The sequence below is a fragment of the Homo sapiens genome, chromosome 21 (genome assembly GCF_000001405.40).
Source record: "Homo sapiens chromosome 21, GRCh38.p14 Primary Assembly".
Taxonomy (NCBI): Eukaryota; Metazoa; Chordata; class Mammalia; order Primates; family Hominidae; genus Homo; species Homo sapiens.
In genome coordinates this window covers 9,781,594-9,796,522 of record NC_000021.9, presented here as the reverse complement: position 1 = coordinate 9,796,522, position 14,929 = coordinate 9,781,594, and the positions used below count along the sequence as shown (strand labels likewise).

Sequence of the window (14,929 nt, the reverse complement as noted above, 5' to 3'; positions counted from 1 at the left end):
ACTTTCTGAGGTTGGCTTGTTGCCAAAACTTTCCTTTTAAATTTTTAGCTGTTTTTAAGGTCTAAATTCTCATTTCTAGCACTTTTAATCAGGGACTTCATTTTTTTCTCCATTAATAAAAATTTTAATTTTCTACTGATACATAATGGATGTACATATTTTGGTAGTACATGTGATAATTTAATGCATTCATATAATTTGTAAAAATGAAACTAATGTAATTGAGTATCCAACACCTTAAATATTTGTCTGTTTCTTATGCTAGAAACACCTGAATGATTATCTTCTAACTATTCTGAACTGTACAGTAGCTTGTTGTAAACTATTATTTCTGGGCAAGGCCAGCTCCACGGCTACACGATCAGTGTGGCTGCAGAGACAGGCACTTGGTTTTATGCTCTACTTCAAAGTCTTAGAATTCTTAATAATTTTTGAACAAGGTACCTCACATTTTCATCGAGCCTTGTAAACAGTGTATCCAGTTAGTTTCCTTGATAATATCGAGGTGTGATATTTAATGTTTCTTTCAATAAACATTACCAGTGTGAATACGCTGCTCGGTGTGGCCATAATGCACTAACGCATTTTTGCTTTGTACCTATGTTATTGCCAACCACTGAACTAAAGAAGGGAATAAAGATATAATCCTTGCCCCCAAAGCATTGCAAACATATTGGAGGAACTTAGTGTCTCTGTATCAGATGGCATGCACTAAATATTCGCCATGAATACTCTTCCTGAATGCAAAGTCACAATTTTATATGACTTTATTCATGCACTAACAGACATATTGTACCTATTATTCTAAATGCGTGGAGGTTGGGACGATGTCTAAAACTCAGGTCATATCAGGCATTTTGTATCATGGAAAAGAACAGAATGATTCACTATCTAGTTGATGATGGTGGAGTTGGGTGGACGTAGCTACAGCGGTTCACAGTGGCCCATAGACTCTCTGGAAGTATTTTTCAGTAACACCAGGAGATGACCCTGAAGGCACAAATAATTTTCTCTCCCTCCATTTGATACGGACACAGGTTTATCCATTAACAGGATTCCAGAGCTAATCAGAATTACCTCTGATTTGGGTTTTACTCACACACCTGCTGGAAATCCATGCATGAGCTTTGTGAGAAAGGGCACAAAGGAAACCAGCCTGAAGTCTGCAGGGGCCACACAGTGCAAGCCAACAGCAGAGCTGACACAGATGCCAGAATGGTCAAAAACGAACATTTACAAAGCAATTATTGCTATATCCCACATCTTCAAAAGGTTAAGTAGAGGCATGAGAGATTAAAAAGGCCCAAACTGAACTTTTAGGGAAGAAAACTACAGTTTCCTGAGGTCAAAAAATACACAAAGTGGAAATTACAGCAGATTAGACATTGCAGGAAAAAAATTGTAAATTTGAAAGTGTGGCAATAAAAACTCCATAATGTAACATAGAAAAAATAATAGTTAAAAAAACTGAGAGCATTAGTGGGGCTAATCACAGAATGTGAGACTACTCCCAGTAGTCCAATATACATGGAATTAAAATCCTCAAAGATGGAAAAAGCAGAAGTATTAAACCCACAGATCCCAGAAGTTTAGCCCCAAGCACAAGAACCAAGAAGAAAACGACACCAAGACATGTGAAAACCAAATTGCTCAAACCAGAAATAAAAAGAAGACGCTGAAAGCCAGGAGATGTGGGAGAGGGGAAGTCATGTATATATGTATATATATATATATATATATTTTTTTTTTTTTTATTTTTTTTTTCCAGGAGTCTTGCTCTGTCGCCAAGATGGGAGTGCAGTGGTGCAATCTCCTCTCACCGCAACCTCTGCCTCCCAGGTTGAAGCAATTCTCCTGCCTCAGCCTCCCAAGTAGCTAGCACTACAGGCACCCGCCACCACGCCCAGCTGATTTTTTTTTTTTTGTATTTTTAGTAGAGACGGGGTTTCATCATGTTGGACAGGCTAGTCTTGAGCTCCTGACCTTGTGATCTGCCCTCCTCAGCCTCCCAAAGTATTGGGATTACAGGTGTGAGCCACAGCACCTGCCTAGTCAGATTCTACACAGAGGAATGAAGATAAGAATGGCCGTCTATCTCTCATCTCAAACAAGGGAAGGGAAGAGACAGAGGAGCAAAATCTCTCCAGGATTGAAAGGAAAAAAGTCAACCTAAAATTCTCTACCAGAGAAAATATCTTTCAAAGATCAAGGTAAAATCGAGTTTTCCAGACATATAAATGAAGAAATAATTCGTTACCAGCAGAACACACCACAAGAAATGTTGCAGATGGTGGATCCAGGAACACGGTTAGGACTGAATTGTCCTCAGGGATTATTGAACTAGTGTTTATCTTACTCCTAAACGAAGTGGTTCCAGTGGGCTGTTTTTCTTAATGTTTCAGTTTATGTTCCCAATGTTATAATTTTGTAGTTTTCACAAAACCACTAATAGCCTTTAGCCACCATTTCTCACACTTACCACTCTCCTTTTCTGTAACAGTCCCTCTTTTCTGTCCTAATTTGCTGCTTCTAATAAGTGGCCCTAGAAACCAGATAAGAACATGTATTCGAAATGCGAATAAGTTAAAATAGCCCCATAAATTGTACCATAGATTTTGTGTGATATACTTAGTCACTCAGAAGCTTTTTCCCAATCTATATTGTGAAAAATATGATATAACAATTATTATAAGGAAAACTATTACATACTGAATGGCCACTGTGTGTTAGTCGTTATTCTAAATATTTTATTTATTATTTGTAATCTTTTTTATGGACTCTAGATTCTACTTCCAGAGTATATAATGTGTATATAAAGAGACAGAATGATAAAGTGCTTTTTTTTTCTTTTTTTGTTTTTTGAGATGGAGTCTCGCTCTGCCACCAGGCTGGAGTGTAGCGGCATGATCTCAGCTCACTGCAACCTCCACCTTCCTGGTTCAAGCGATTCTCCTGCCTCAACCTCCCAAGTAGCTGGGACTACAGGTGAACACCACCATGCCCAGCTAATTTTTGTATTTTTAGTAGAGACGGGGTTTTACCATGTTGGCCAGGATGGTCTTGATCTCTTGACCTTGCGATCCACCTGCATCGGCCTCCCAAAGTGCTGGGATTACAGGAGTGAGCCACCATGCCCAGCTGGTAAATTGTTTTAAAGTACCAGCTTTGAACACAGACATCTCTGGTTAAAAATCACGGCTGTGTTGCTCCCGAGAACTACACCTGTGAACAGGTTGCCCAGGCTCTGTTATTTATGTAGGCAACCCCAAGGCCAGTACATGACCCTGTGATTACTGGAAGCACAGTATACGACAGGGGATTCAAATGGTAAACTAAGGATGTTTAGAATTTATTTACCTAATGTCATAAAGTAAACACAGGAACACTAAAAATTACCACTGATTTAAAAGTTATCTCCCGACTGACTTGTCACTTTGATCTTATTTCACCAAATCCAGGAAATAGAAAATTTCAAGTACATAAATCAGATTTCTCTGAGATACCTAGATTGATAATCGGCCTCTAATAATCTCCCAAGTATAGCAAGTGCCACACAGTTTCCTTAAGGAATCCCCAAAGTCGGCCAAGGAAATCAGAAAAGAAAATTGGGCCTAGCTGCATGATGAATGGGTTGGATTCCACCTGCCACTCCAAAGCATGCTGCTGGAATAATCTCCAGTGGCAGGGGCTTAGCAAGGAGCCATGACTCAAGTTCCACAACCAGCAGACATGCTGCTAAAATAACCCCTATTTTGGGCTGATCCCCAAGACAGTGAGAGGTGCACTGTGCAAGTTTGAAGGCACATTAATTTTATCAGTGTTCACTCAGCATTTTACTGGCAGCAGTCTGCAGGAATACCATGTCATTTTTGCTTTTCAGATGTGTATTGAATTTGCAGAAGGCCTCTTTTCCAAATGATCAATGAATTTCAACACCAGAGTCTTGGAGTCAGACAAGGAAACTTTCAGTACATAGGTAGACCTAACCCTTTGTTTGATTTCATTTGGACCTGAAATTAATATTGCTCTCATCACTGACACTGCAGTTCATGGAGTAATTTATACTCTGTGGGGTTATTATGACATCCCTTTCAGTGCAGCATCTCTGAAAGCTAAAAATGAAGAAGAGTGAAATATCTCTGAATACAAGCCAAAGAGTTATTCATTTCAATGTCTGTTGGGAGGATTTGTAATGGACTGAAGGCCAGGGACCAAGTCAACCCAAGAGGCCATTTCCTAACACCTCATATTGACTACTCATCATCTTCTTATACCAATTCCCACATCTGTCTTGTACCTTCCTTTTTCTCTTCTTCTGTCTTTGTGTTTTTCTCTATTGATCTGTTATCATGCTCTATTCTTTTTTCTCTCTCCTTTTCTCTTTTCTTCCATTTCTTTGGCCCTTAGCACTTCTTTTTTTCTATCCTTCATTCTTTTTACTACTTTTCACATAATATAGAATTAAGTCTAGATGTTGTATTCATCATGTTTTAGTGTCCTACTCTTCTGAAAATTGGAGCAAACGAAAAGGTTTGCCCATGTCTGAAAAATTAAGCAGTTTTTCATGTGGCCCATGATGCTTTTCTTTACAGTCAATGGGCACTTTATGAGGAAGCACAAATACAAAGCTGCTTTTCATTCAGGGCCCCAAGAAAGTCAAGACTAGTTGTATTAGTCCATTCTCATGCTGCTAATAAACATGTACTAGAGACAGGGTAATTTAGAAAGTAAAGAGATTTAATAGACTCATAGTTCCTCAGGACTGGGGAGGATTCTGGAAACTTACTATCATGACAAAAGGGGAAGCAAACACTTCCTTCTTCACATGGTGGCAGGAAGGGGAAGTGCTGAGCAAAAGGGGAAAAGCCCCTTACAAAACCATCAGATCTCATGAAAACGTACTCACTGTCACAAGAAGAGTAGCATGGGGGTAACAACGCCCATGATTCAATTACCTCCAACCAGGTCACTTCCACAACACCTGGGGATTGTGGGAACTACAATTCAAGATGAGATTTGGATGGGGACACAGAGCCAAACCATATCACTAATCTTAGTCTCAATTTTCCCGTCATCAGAATATTGTCAGCACTTACTTTAATACCCCATGCGTTCATGTCCCTTTTGTAATTCACTCTTTCTAAAGAACATTCTTCTCTTTGGCTACACAGCTTATCTTTCCATCTTTTTTTTTTTTAAGTATAACTTATGTAAAAACTTTAAGGCTTCTGTGTCTTTTCTACATTTTCACTGGCTCTCTGAGGGGTCATCTCAGGTGCCAACGAAGGCAGTCTTCAGTCTGGATTCCTTTCAAGGATGTGAAATTATCTCTTCAAAATACATTAGGTAATGTCTGCCTACTTTGGATTTTGTGACGGCTTGAAACAATGCAGTCCACATTTTAACTGACAAGTTTAGAGGTGTCAGTGGTATTTGAGCTTTCTGTGCCTCAAAAACTCACCATCTCACACTGTTCATTGTCACCAGATCTAATTGTGTCTCAGGTGACTTCATAATGTTCTCAAGGCCAGGTGCTGAGGCAGGAGGAAAGGACACACCCCAGAGGCAGGACTGTGAGTTTGAAGTCACCGCCAGCGTCTGCCCATTGCACTGTGCCCAGGACTCCTGTTTCCATGGACTGGGCTGGACCATGCTGTAGCCCTGGGCGCTGCCTGCACCTGAGAATTATCCAAAGCACTTGCAAAATGTGTGAATCCCTTGCCCTTAGCCTAAGGAATTTCAATTTATAAATTATTTCTGCCTGTGGGTCTCGAACATGGATAATTTTAAAATCTTCTTAAGAAATGCTGATGTGCAACCAGGGTTAAGGACCACAGAGCGAGAATGCCCAGAAGGCTTGGCGGAACTCAGATCCTTGGGCCCTGGGTTAAGGACCACAGAGCGAGAATGCCCAGAAGGCTTGGCGGAACTCAGATCCCTGGACCCTGGGTTAAGGGCCACTGAGGGAGAATGCCCAGAAGGCTTGGTGGAACTCAGATCCCTGGACTCTGGACCATCATAGCAGTCACAGATCCAGGATGAGGCCACAGATGAATCCCCAGCTGAGGTGATGCTGCTGGCCTGGGACCACACATCGAGGACCACTCAGCTAGAAGATGCTTAGCACTTCTCTGCCTCTTTTTAAAATTCCTTCTTCTGGGAAGAGAGACTGATCTTACTATTGAGTGTGGGAGAAGAAACAACATGATTAGCAGAATGCCATCCCCTCTCTCTTTTCAAATGTGTGAGCCTGGAGAGAGTTCTCTTCAATGTGTGAGCCTGGAGAGAGTTCTCTTCAATGTGTGAGCCTGGAGAGAGTTCTCTTCAATGTGTGAGCCTGGAGAGAGGATGCTTTTTTATCCACTGTGAGGATGGCTTTTCAGGGCAAGCTCTGTCTGCATGTGCGGGGGGACAACCTCCAATTTTGTTCTGTTTTCCTTTGTTTTGTTTTGCTTTGCTCTTCTTTGCTTTGAGAAGCCTTAGCATAGACCTAGGGGAAGTATTAGACCATAGAGCTAAAGTCATCTTCTTTGGCATGATTAGAATTTTCAAAATACATAACAAATATTTTAAAATTTTGATCTCCATTTATCTGTCTTCTGGGTACTCTCTCAATATATTGTGAATGCGAGATGGAAAAAATTAGTGTTACATGTCAGCTTTCTAAAACCCCAACATAATCCTATCTCTTTTCAAATGGTTTCACTTCTTGGCCCTTTGAAAGCAATATAAACAATTTCACTGACTTAGTAAGCAGGGCTCTAAGAACTGAAGAGAAAACACGCCAATGCTGGATGGCATCAATTCTTTGAAAGAGGAAGGAGGCAAATAGACATGACACATCCACAATAAACAGTCGCTAAAATGTATGGGAATGCTCCGTGCTGCACCTCTCTGCAGGCTTTCACCTTATTTAGCTCCAATTTTCTAAGACTACTACAAAAAAATGTACAAGAGAGGCCCCCTGGACACTAGCTAGTAAGAGCACCAAATCACACATATTTATGGAAACCTAATTAATAATAGTTGTCTCTTCAAACCCCTGCTGTGAGCCATGTATTGTCTTAACCACCTTCTGCTCTGTATCATTCTACTAAAGCACCTGCATAAGTAGGTATTACTTAGTAAGGAAACTGGGGCATAGCTAGCTGGATTAATACCTGGCAAGAAATAGGAAGTGAAGATGGGATTTGCTCCTTGTGTGTGTGGGTGGAAAGCAAAGGCTCTTTCCGCAGTGCACTGTGTACGTAAACTTGCAGCCAAACACCATTATAAAGGCTGTGAAAGATGCAGAGAAATGCAACACTTCTTATTAGTTTCCTAATCTCAAAATGCAGGTAGCCTAGTTAAGGAGATAAAATTACATATAAGAAAAATTAAGTAACAACACAAGATCTGAAGATTAATATAGTATCTTTGACTCCAATCTAAAAATATTCCAAAAATGGTGAAATGTTTGGGAGAATTCCAAATGCAAACAATTGGAGTGCTATAAAATGTGGTTGATCCCACAGAATCCAGTCTGCTTCAGGAAATACTTTTCCTAATTGGAGCCTCTGAGAGACTGAAATCCATTCTGCGAAGTGTATTCTAGCTCTTCCATAGTCTCCCAGTGACTCTTGCCTCAGAAGGCTCTGTTAATTTGGTTGATCGCTTCTGGTTTTTCTCTATATTTCATATATTGATCAAATTTTGTAATACAATCTTCAGATCCACACTACCCAAAAGAAAAACACGCTTCCTGCTATCATTTTTTTTTATTTCCCTCTAAATAAGTAGGAGCATGGTACTTTGATCAATAAGAATGAAAAAAATTATTAGGGAACTTGCCATCATATTCCAGGAGAAATGGAGTATGGCATGCACCCAGCACTGACCTTCAATCAGAATGAAAGCACGTCAGAGAAAAGGAATTGTATAGAATTGCTGGGATCAAATGTAACACAAAAACATCGGAACTATAATAGGATCACGAAGCACAATCACCACTAAAGTCCATCTCATGATTCAGCAGCAGGAGCAGGGGAGCACAGCAGAAAGAAGCATGGGTGAAGGGATCCGAGAGTCAATCCTACCTGGCAAACAGGAGTGTGATCCTGGCATCCAGTTTATATCTCAGAGTCTTTGTTCCCAGGTAGAACTGGGAGACTGAGCTAGATCAGGGGTTCTTAGAAATCAGTTGAGGGGACCGTGAACTTAATGAAAGAATGAATCTTTATTTCCTATAATCTTTAACTAAAATGTATAGCACTTCCTCCAATTATGAATGTAAGTCATAACCCACAATACTACTAACCGTACATGTGATATTGTTCCAATACAAATTACAGATATTTTCACATTAATATAATTTTTAGTTATCTCAAAATATCATTTATGATCACTAGCTCTTCAAATTTACAAAGATCATCTCAGTCACAGCTGTTTCCCTTTACTTAATGCATTGGGAAAGAAGCACATGCATAACTGCATCATAACATCCTTAAAAATGAATTCATTAGTGTTTGAGCATAATTGGCTTCCTCTATAATCAAAGGTGTGCTAGCTGACGCTTTCTGAAATGTTTTTCTTAGATGTGACTTTATCAGACTGCCTATATGGTCCCCTTAGACAGTGCCTAAGGGCCATTTCCTTGAACATGGTGGAATTCTCAGCCTCCTGTCTCAGAAGCAGAGATGCCTAACTGGCTGGGATGCATTTCAAGGATAAGCAAGAGCAGGAGACTGGAGTAACTGCCATATGGTGGGAGGTGACAACTGGAAACAACAGTGGTATTAAATTGATCCAAATGCAGCCTCAGGGCATGTTAGTAACTAGGAAATACTAAGAGGGAACAGAGTAAGATGGAACAACTCAGATCATCAGTAAGAAATGCCTGGCCAGGGCCAGGTGTGGTGGCTCATGCCTGTAATCCCAGCACTTTGGGACGTCGAGGCATGTGGATCATTTGAGGTCAGGAGTTCAAGACCAGCCTGGCCAATATGGTCAAACTCCATCTCTACTAAACATACAAAAGTTGAACCCGGGAGGCAGAGGTTGCAGTGAGCTGAGATCATGCCACTGCACTCCAGCCTGGGCCACAGAGTGAGACTCCATCTCAGAAACAAAAAAGAAAGAAAAAAAGAAAACAAAAACAGAAATGCTCGGCCAGCAAATGCACCAGGCAGCCAGACCGATACAGGTTCCAGAGCCGCCTACTCTGTCAAAAAGTACAACAGTGTGGTACTCCCAGCACTCATTGACAATCATTTCCTCACATTGGGCTGTTAAGTAATAGAAAGTAACAGGTGAAAAAGCACAAGAAACGCTATGGTTACACAGATTACAACTTTGGTGGAAGCGTATGTATGATGAGAACTAGAACTGCACGCTCGGTTATGTTAAATCCGTGGCCATTGTCTAAGTGCTTATGGTAAAACCACAGTGTGCTAGAGGTATGAGCCTACTGAAATAAGACGTGTGAACTTCTCAGAAAATCTATCCCAGCTTCTGCTGGCAAAGAAAACAACTAAAAGAGCCATCTACAAAGAGATGCATGAGTTAGCTGAGGTGGCTCCTAGCAGTGAGACAGAGGTGTAGAAGGGAATGTGTGAGTGGTGTCTCCAGCATCAAGGTGTTAGGTGAAAGTGCAGAGATTCTGAATCAGGGGATCTGGAGAATCAGGGGATCTGGAATGGGATCTTCAAAACCTGCATTCACTGGGCACCCCAGGCATATTAGGATGCAGGGGATCTGCAAACCACTTTGAAAGAAACCAGCTGCGGCTCCTGGCTGAGGTATTTTGAGTCTGAAAAGCAAAGCAAAACACCATCGTTGTGAGCCCCTACATACTGCAGCTCAGCCCCAGCAGGTGCAGGACGCTGTATGTGGGTAAAAGACTAGTTATGTGTTCAAAATACAGTGATGAAGAGGCCAATGAGAAGGTGGTTGTAAATGAAGAGATAAAGAGCATGGTGCAATAAAGGGTGATAGGATCCTCTCTCAGCCATCACACGATTTGCTTTCTTCAGCCAGCTCTGTCAAAAGTATCCCCTATTAGAAACGCTGTCCCCTTAGAGAGTAGTTTGTTGAAGGTTTCTAACAGAAAAAGACAAGGCTCGGACACTAGCAGCCCTGCAGGAAACAGTTGTATTCAAAGCAGACGTGAAAACCCTGTATCATGTGATGCACTGCCAATGCAACAGCACCTTCAAGCACTAACTTCGATAGACCCTCAGCCTCTGGGATGACCTGGCATTTCCCTCTATCTACGTGAACTCGCTGAGGCCCCCTTTAACAATTTAGTAACTCCTTTTGGCATGGTGCACTGGCCCAATGGACTAAGTGTCCTATTGAAGAATGCAATAGAAGCAGACAGCGAGATTGGCCTCAACAGGGTTGCAGAAAGCCCTGTCTCAGCCTGGTCATGAATTCAGGTCAACCAGTGCCACTTTTATGAAAAGAACTGTAGAAGGGAAATCCTTGGAAACAAATACACTGACAAATCAGTCCATTGTGTGACTTCTTCAGAACAAAACCTGCACTTGGAACTCAGAGAAAGGAGAAAATCACAGCCTTTCACGTAAATTATATCTGAGAAATAAAACCTTTGAATTTGAAAGAAGGCTCACTAGATAATACCACTGGGAGGATATCAGGAATTAGTATTTTTTTGACCACATAAGTGCCAAGCTTCGAGCTATGTGCTTTGTATCCAACATCTCATCTCATCTGTTGGTAACACTACCAACAATTCAGCTCAAGGAATCACATTGTCAGAGCTGGAAGGGTCCTCAGAGATTATCAGGTCCAAACTGTTCATTTGCATGTGAAAAACCTGAGACCATGGCAGGACACAGTGGCTCACACCTGTAATCCCAGCACTTTGGGAGGCAAGGAGGGCGGATCATGAGGTCAGGAGTTCGAGACCAGCCTGACCAATGTGGTGAAACCCCATCTTTCCTAAAAACACAAAAATTAGCTGGGCATCCCAGCTACTCAGGAGGCTGAGGCAGGAGAATCTTTTGAACCCGGGAGGCAGATGTTGCAGTGAGCCGAGATCACGTCACAGCACTCCAGCCCAGTGAAAGAGCAAGACTCCATCTCAAAAAAAAAAAAAAAAAAAAAAAAGGAAAAACCTGAGACTAAGAGAAGATAAGTAGCAGAACAGAACTCAATGTCTTCTTGTGCTTCTCTGACTTAACGTCTTTCCAATGCACCATGCAGCCTCCCACATGAGCAATCAGATATGTACGTCACTAGACCCTAAGAAAGTAAGCTCTTCATTAAGCTCTTTAAAGTTAAAATGCATTTGTGGATATAAGCCTCAGTCCAGAAATTAATGTGAATAAGTTGTGTTTCTTATTTTTTTTAAATAGTTAGCTTGTGATTCTATTGGAATAAAGAAAAATCAATGTCAGTATTTCCTCCCTACCTTTCTAGAAGTTGTATCTAAGTTCCAGGGCACCATGGTTTGGGGGAGCACCTGGTCCTAGATGTCATCTGTTCACTTCAGCATCCAATGAGATGCTGCCATCCTCTTGGGGTGTTCCCTCATCCACACACACACACATGCCACCTATGGTCACACACTTCTGTACATGTGTTCTCTTTCTGGTTGGTGGATATCTTGACTGCTTCTATACCATAGATGGAGACACAGGATCTGGCCTTACATTTCTGTGCCACCCAACATTATGGGAGACTTCATGACTGTTTCTATGGCATTTATGCCCAGGCTCTCTGCAGCCCTCTCCCTCCACCTCCTCACCACTCTTTCCAGACAGAGGTCATCTCTGCTCTCAGATCTCACAAAGCTTTCTCAGGATTTGCAGACAACCCAGAGCTGTGGCTGATAGACAAAAAGCAGGCCTTTCCTCTCTAGGAACCCCTACCTAACACTAGCGTGCCCTGCTCCACACAGAGGGGCTCTTCCAGTCTTGGAAACGGGAGAGAAGGAACCCTTTTCTTCTCTTTGCTTCCTGGAGTCCTCTTCTGATTCCCTAACAGCATTGATGTTTATAATAAACTCAAGGAAGCCAGACTTTTCTAGATTTTCCACACTGTTGTATCTTGCCACTGAAGCAAGGACCACAGAATGGTCCACAGGCTTGGATTCAGCAGGCTTGGATTAGGGGGGAGCAGAAGGGCTACAAATAAATGATTCCATGTACTCACTTCTGCTGTGGTTTATCACAAACACCAAAGCCAATGGAAAATGAGGAGAGAGCAACAGAGATCCCTGGGGGAGGGGGGCCATTTGAAATGTATCAGGCTATAAGAAATGGTGCTTTTAAAAACATATTGAATAACATGATGGAGAGAAAGATTTTCTTGTTTTTGTTTTTGTTTTTGTTTGAGACAGAGTCTGGCTCTGTCTCCCAGGCTGGAGTGCAGTGGCACAATCTCGGCTCACTGCAACCTCGGCCTCCTGGGTTCAAGCGATTATCCTGCCTCAGCCTCCCAAGTAGCTGGGATTACAGGTGCCCGCCACCGTGCCTGGCTAATTTTTGTATTTTTAGTAGAGACGGGGTTTTGCCATGTTGGCCAGGCTGGTCTCAAACTCCTGACCTCAGGTGATCTGCCTGTGTCACCCTCCCAAAGTGCTGGGATTATAGGTGTGAGGAACTGTGCCCAGTCAAGATTTTAAACAAATATAAGCAGCTTACCTTTAATATCAGAGAATCATTTTATTTCTCCTTCTTCTTTGCTGACCTTCCACACCCCATTCCTGTGTCTGGTGTGCCTTCCCTGAGGGCTTAGCCATTCCTGCCAGCTCAACCTTTGAAAAGCCCAAGCTGAGCGGGAAGCACCTCAGTATTGATCTGCCCAGTTATGGCCTATGGAGGCGCTGGAGGTCCTGTTAGAACAGGATGGGCTATCACTTAATTTAACTCTTACTCAATCTACAAGAGGGTTACATTCTCAACAACTGGAAAATATTATGAACAGACTTCTGAATCCTGTGGTTTATCTGAGAATTATTATAATTATTTTAAATAAATTTAAATTTTCCATTTGTTGCCATAACAGCATTTAGAGACCTGCTAGTTTTGGGGTGTTTACTAGATCTTTGTTGATAAGCTTAATGATGAAGGGGAGCATTAGGGCTTTCTGATGATGCTTTCTAGAAATTTTCGACATACTTTAAAATATGACATTCATTTCTGCCTGAAGACCAAAGTAGGTTTTGCAGAGGCAAATTGAGAGCACGTTTAAAAGATTCATCTTGTGCCTAGGTTTAACAGCCTCCCAGGATGTCAACTGGAAGATCATGCCACTCCTGACAATGAGAAGGTAATAACGAATTTTCAACCAACTCCACATTCATCCTGACACATCCCTTTGGCACATTTTTAAGGTGAAACTTGTGACTCCATAACGTTTTCTTTTTAGGCAAGGGCTTCTGTGGTGGTAATCATGACCTAAAGAGCCCAATTCTACAGTCTTCAGAGAGCCAGGATTCCTGCCCAAAGTTAGATAGGCAGCATTTGAAGCAAAGTTTACTTCACGCAGTTCCTACTTCTTCTGACTATTCGTTTTTTATTTATTACAGCAGATTTATCATGTGCTAGATAATTTCACATTCATGGCTTTTCTAGTGCTCAATTTATCAAGGACAGTGGTGCCACATATTCTTGTATTTTATCGCAAGTACCATCAGGATAAGAGAGACAGGTTCTCTCCTGCAGTGACTGCCACGAAATCATGATTCATAATGATAGATGCATCTTCCCTGGGTTCAATTTTTAATGTTTCTCTTTTTGGAATGTTTACATAACAGAAAAAAGAGGGAATTATATATGAGTCACATTCCTATCACTCATGTGTTCTTTACTGAGAGAATGAAACTAGATACCTGAAAAATAATCAGTGATTTCAACTACTCACTTAGGACATTTTTTATAAAGTTGCCCACTTTTTCATTGTCAAAGACAGGAAAAATGAAAAGAAACTGAAGTGGTCTGAAACCATGACTTTCATTTTCCTTAAGTTCAGAGAGTGAGGTGGCTGGAGATACAGCACATTGATTATCTGTGACACGATCAGTCAGAAGCAGGACCACATGAATTCTCCATCAGCAAACAAAATGACTGGCTTTCTGTGTGATTCTTCACACTGTGAATGCAGCTACTAATAACACCGATTTTACTTCAGGCAAGAGAAACAGAGCCTCTCATTTTCCCTTGAGAATAATGATTGTTTCTTAATACTTTTCTTTTTCCCCATTTCCTTACAGAGGAGTTCCCTGTGCAAGGGAAGCACATGGTAGGGTTAATGCTACATGGAACATGAACTCTGAAGACCCTCATTTTGGTTTCCATGAAGGTGGTGAAGGTTCTCCAAATAAAAGCATTTCCAATAAGGGTGAAGAGTAGAGAGCAGTGATGTTTCCAAAAAGTTTAGAATTCCTCCTTCAAATGACTTCCTAATGAATATCAGAAGGCAATGTGTGGAGTCACAAGTCATTGGAATGGCACCCACTGTGTAATTTCAACAAAACACTTCATCCCTCTGAGCCTCTGGTGGCTCATCTGTAAATTAAGGCAAATTCTATCTTCAAATTTCTTCACTCTTTGATCAACAACTTTTATTCAACTTTGTTGAAAAGAACAAAAAAATTGCATCTCTGGTTGAATTTGGTGGCTCTTTTTCTGGTTAATATAAAACGTGACTGTCAGAATCCCATCTCTAAATCTTTGTCAAATTCGTGTGGCCTCCTTTGTGTGCAGTTTACTAGTACAGCCCCATAATACTGGATAAGATTTTCCCTAAACTTCTGTGATTTAAATGAGATGGTGGTTGCCTGCACTCAGACTGGTAAATGGGTTGGTCCCGAGAACACTTACAGAAGCACCTTGCCTTGTTATTTGGCTTTAGCATTGTATTAAAAAGTTAGTAGATATTTGTAAGCATTCTAGAGATCATTTATTACCTATTCACTCTTTAA

General features: G+C 41.3%; 1 long non-coding RNA gene across 1 annotated transcript in view; it reads left to right on the top strand.

Moving 5' to 3' along the window:
• The window catches only part of LINC01667 (long intergenic non-protein coding RNA 1667), a 39,214-nt gene extending 24,539 nt beyond the window's left edge, over positions 1-14,675 (top strand). Inside the window, exons 4-6 of the long non-coding RNA NR_038377.1 lie at positions 3,881-3,968; positions 13,218-13,275; positions 14,219-14,675. This is a non-coding gene — a long non-coding RNA (long intergenic non-protein coding RNA 1667). The remainder of the gene's footprint in view (positions 1-3,880; positions 3,969-13,217; positions 13,276-14,218) is intronic.
• The last annotated feature ends 254 nt before the right edge of the window (positions 14,676-14,929 follow it).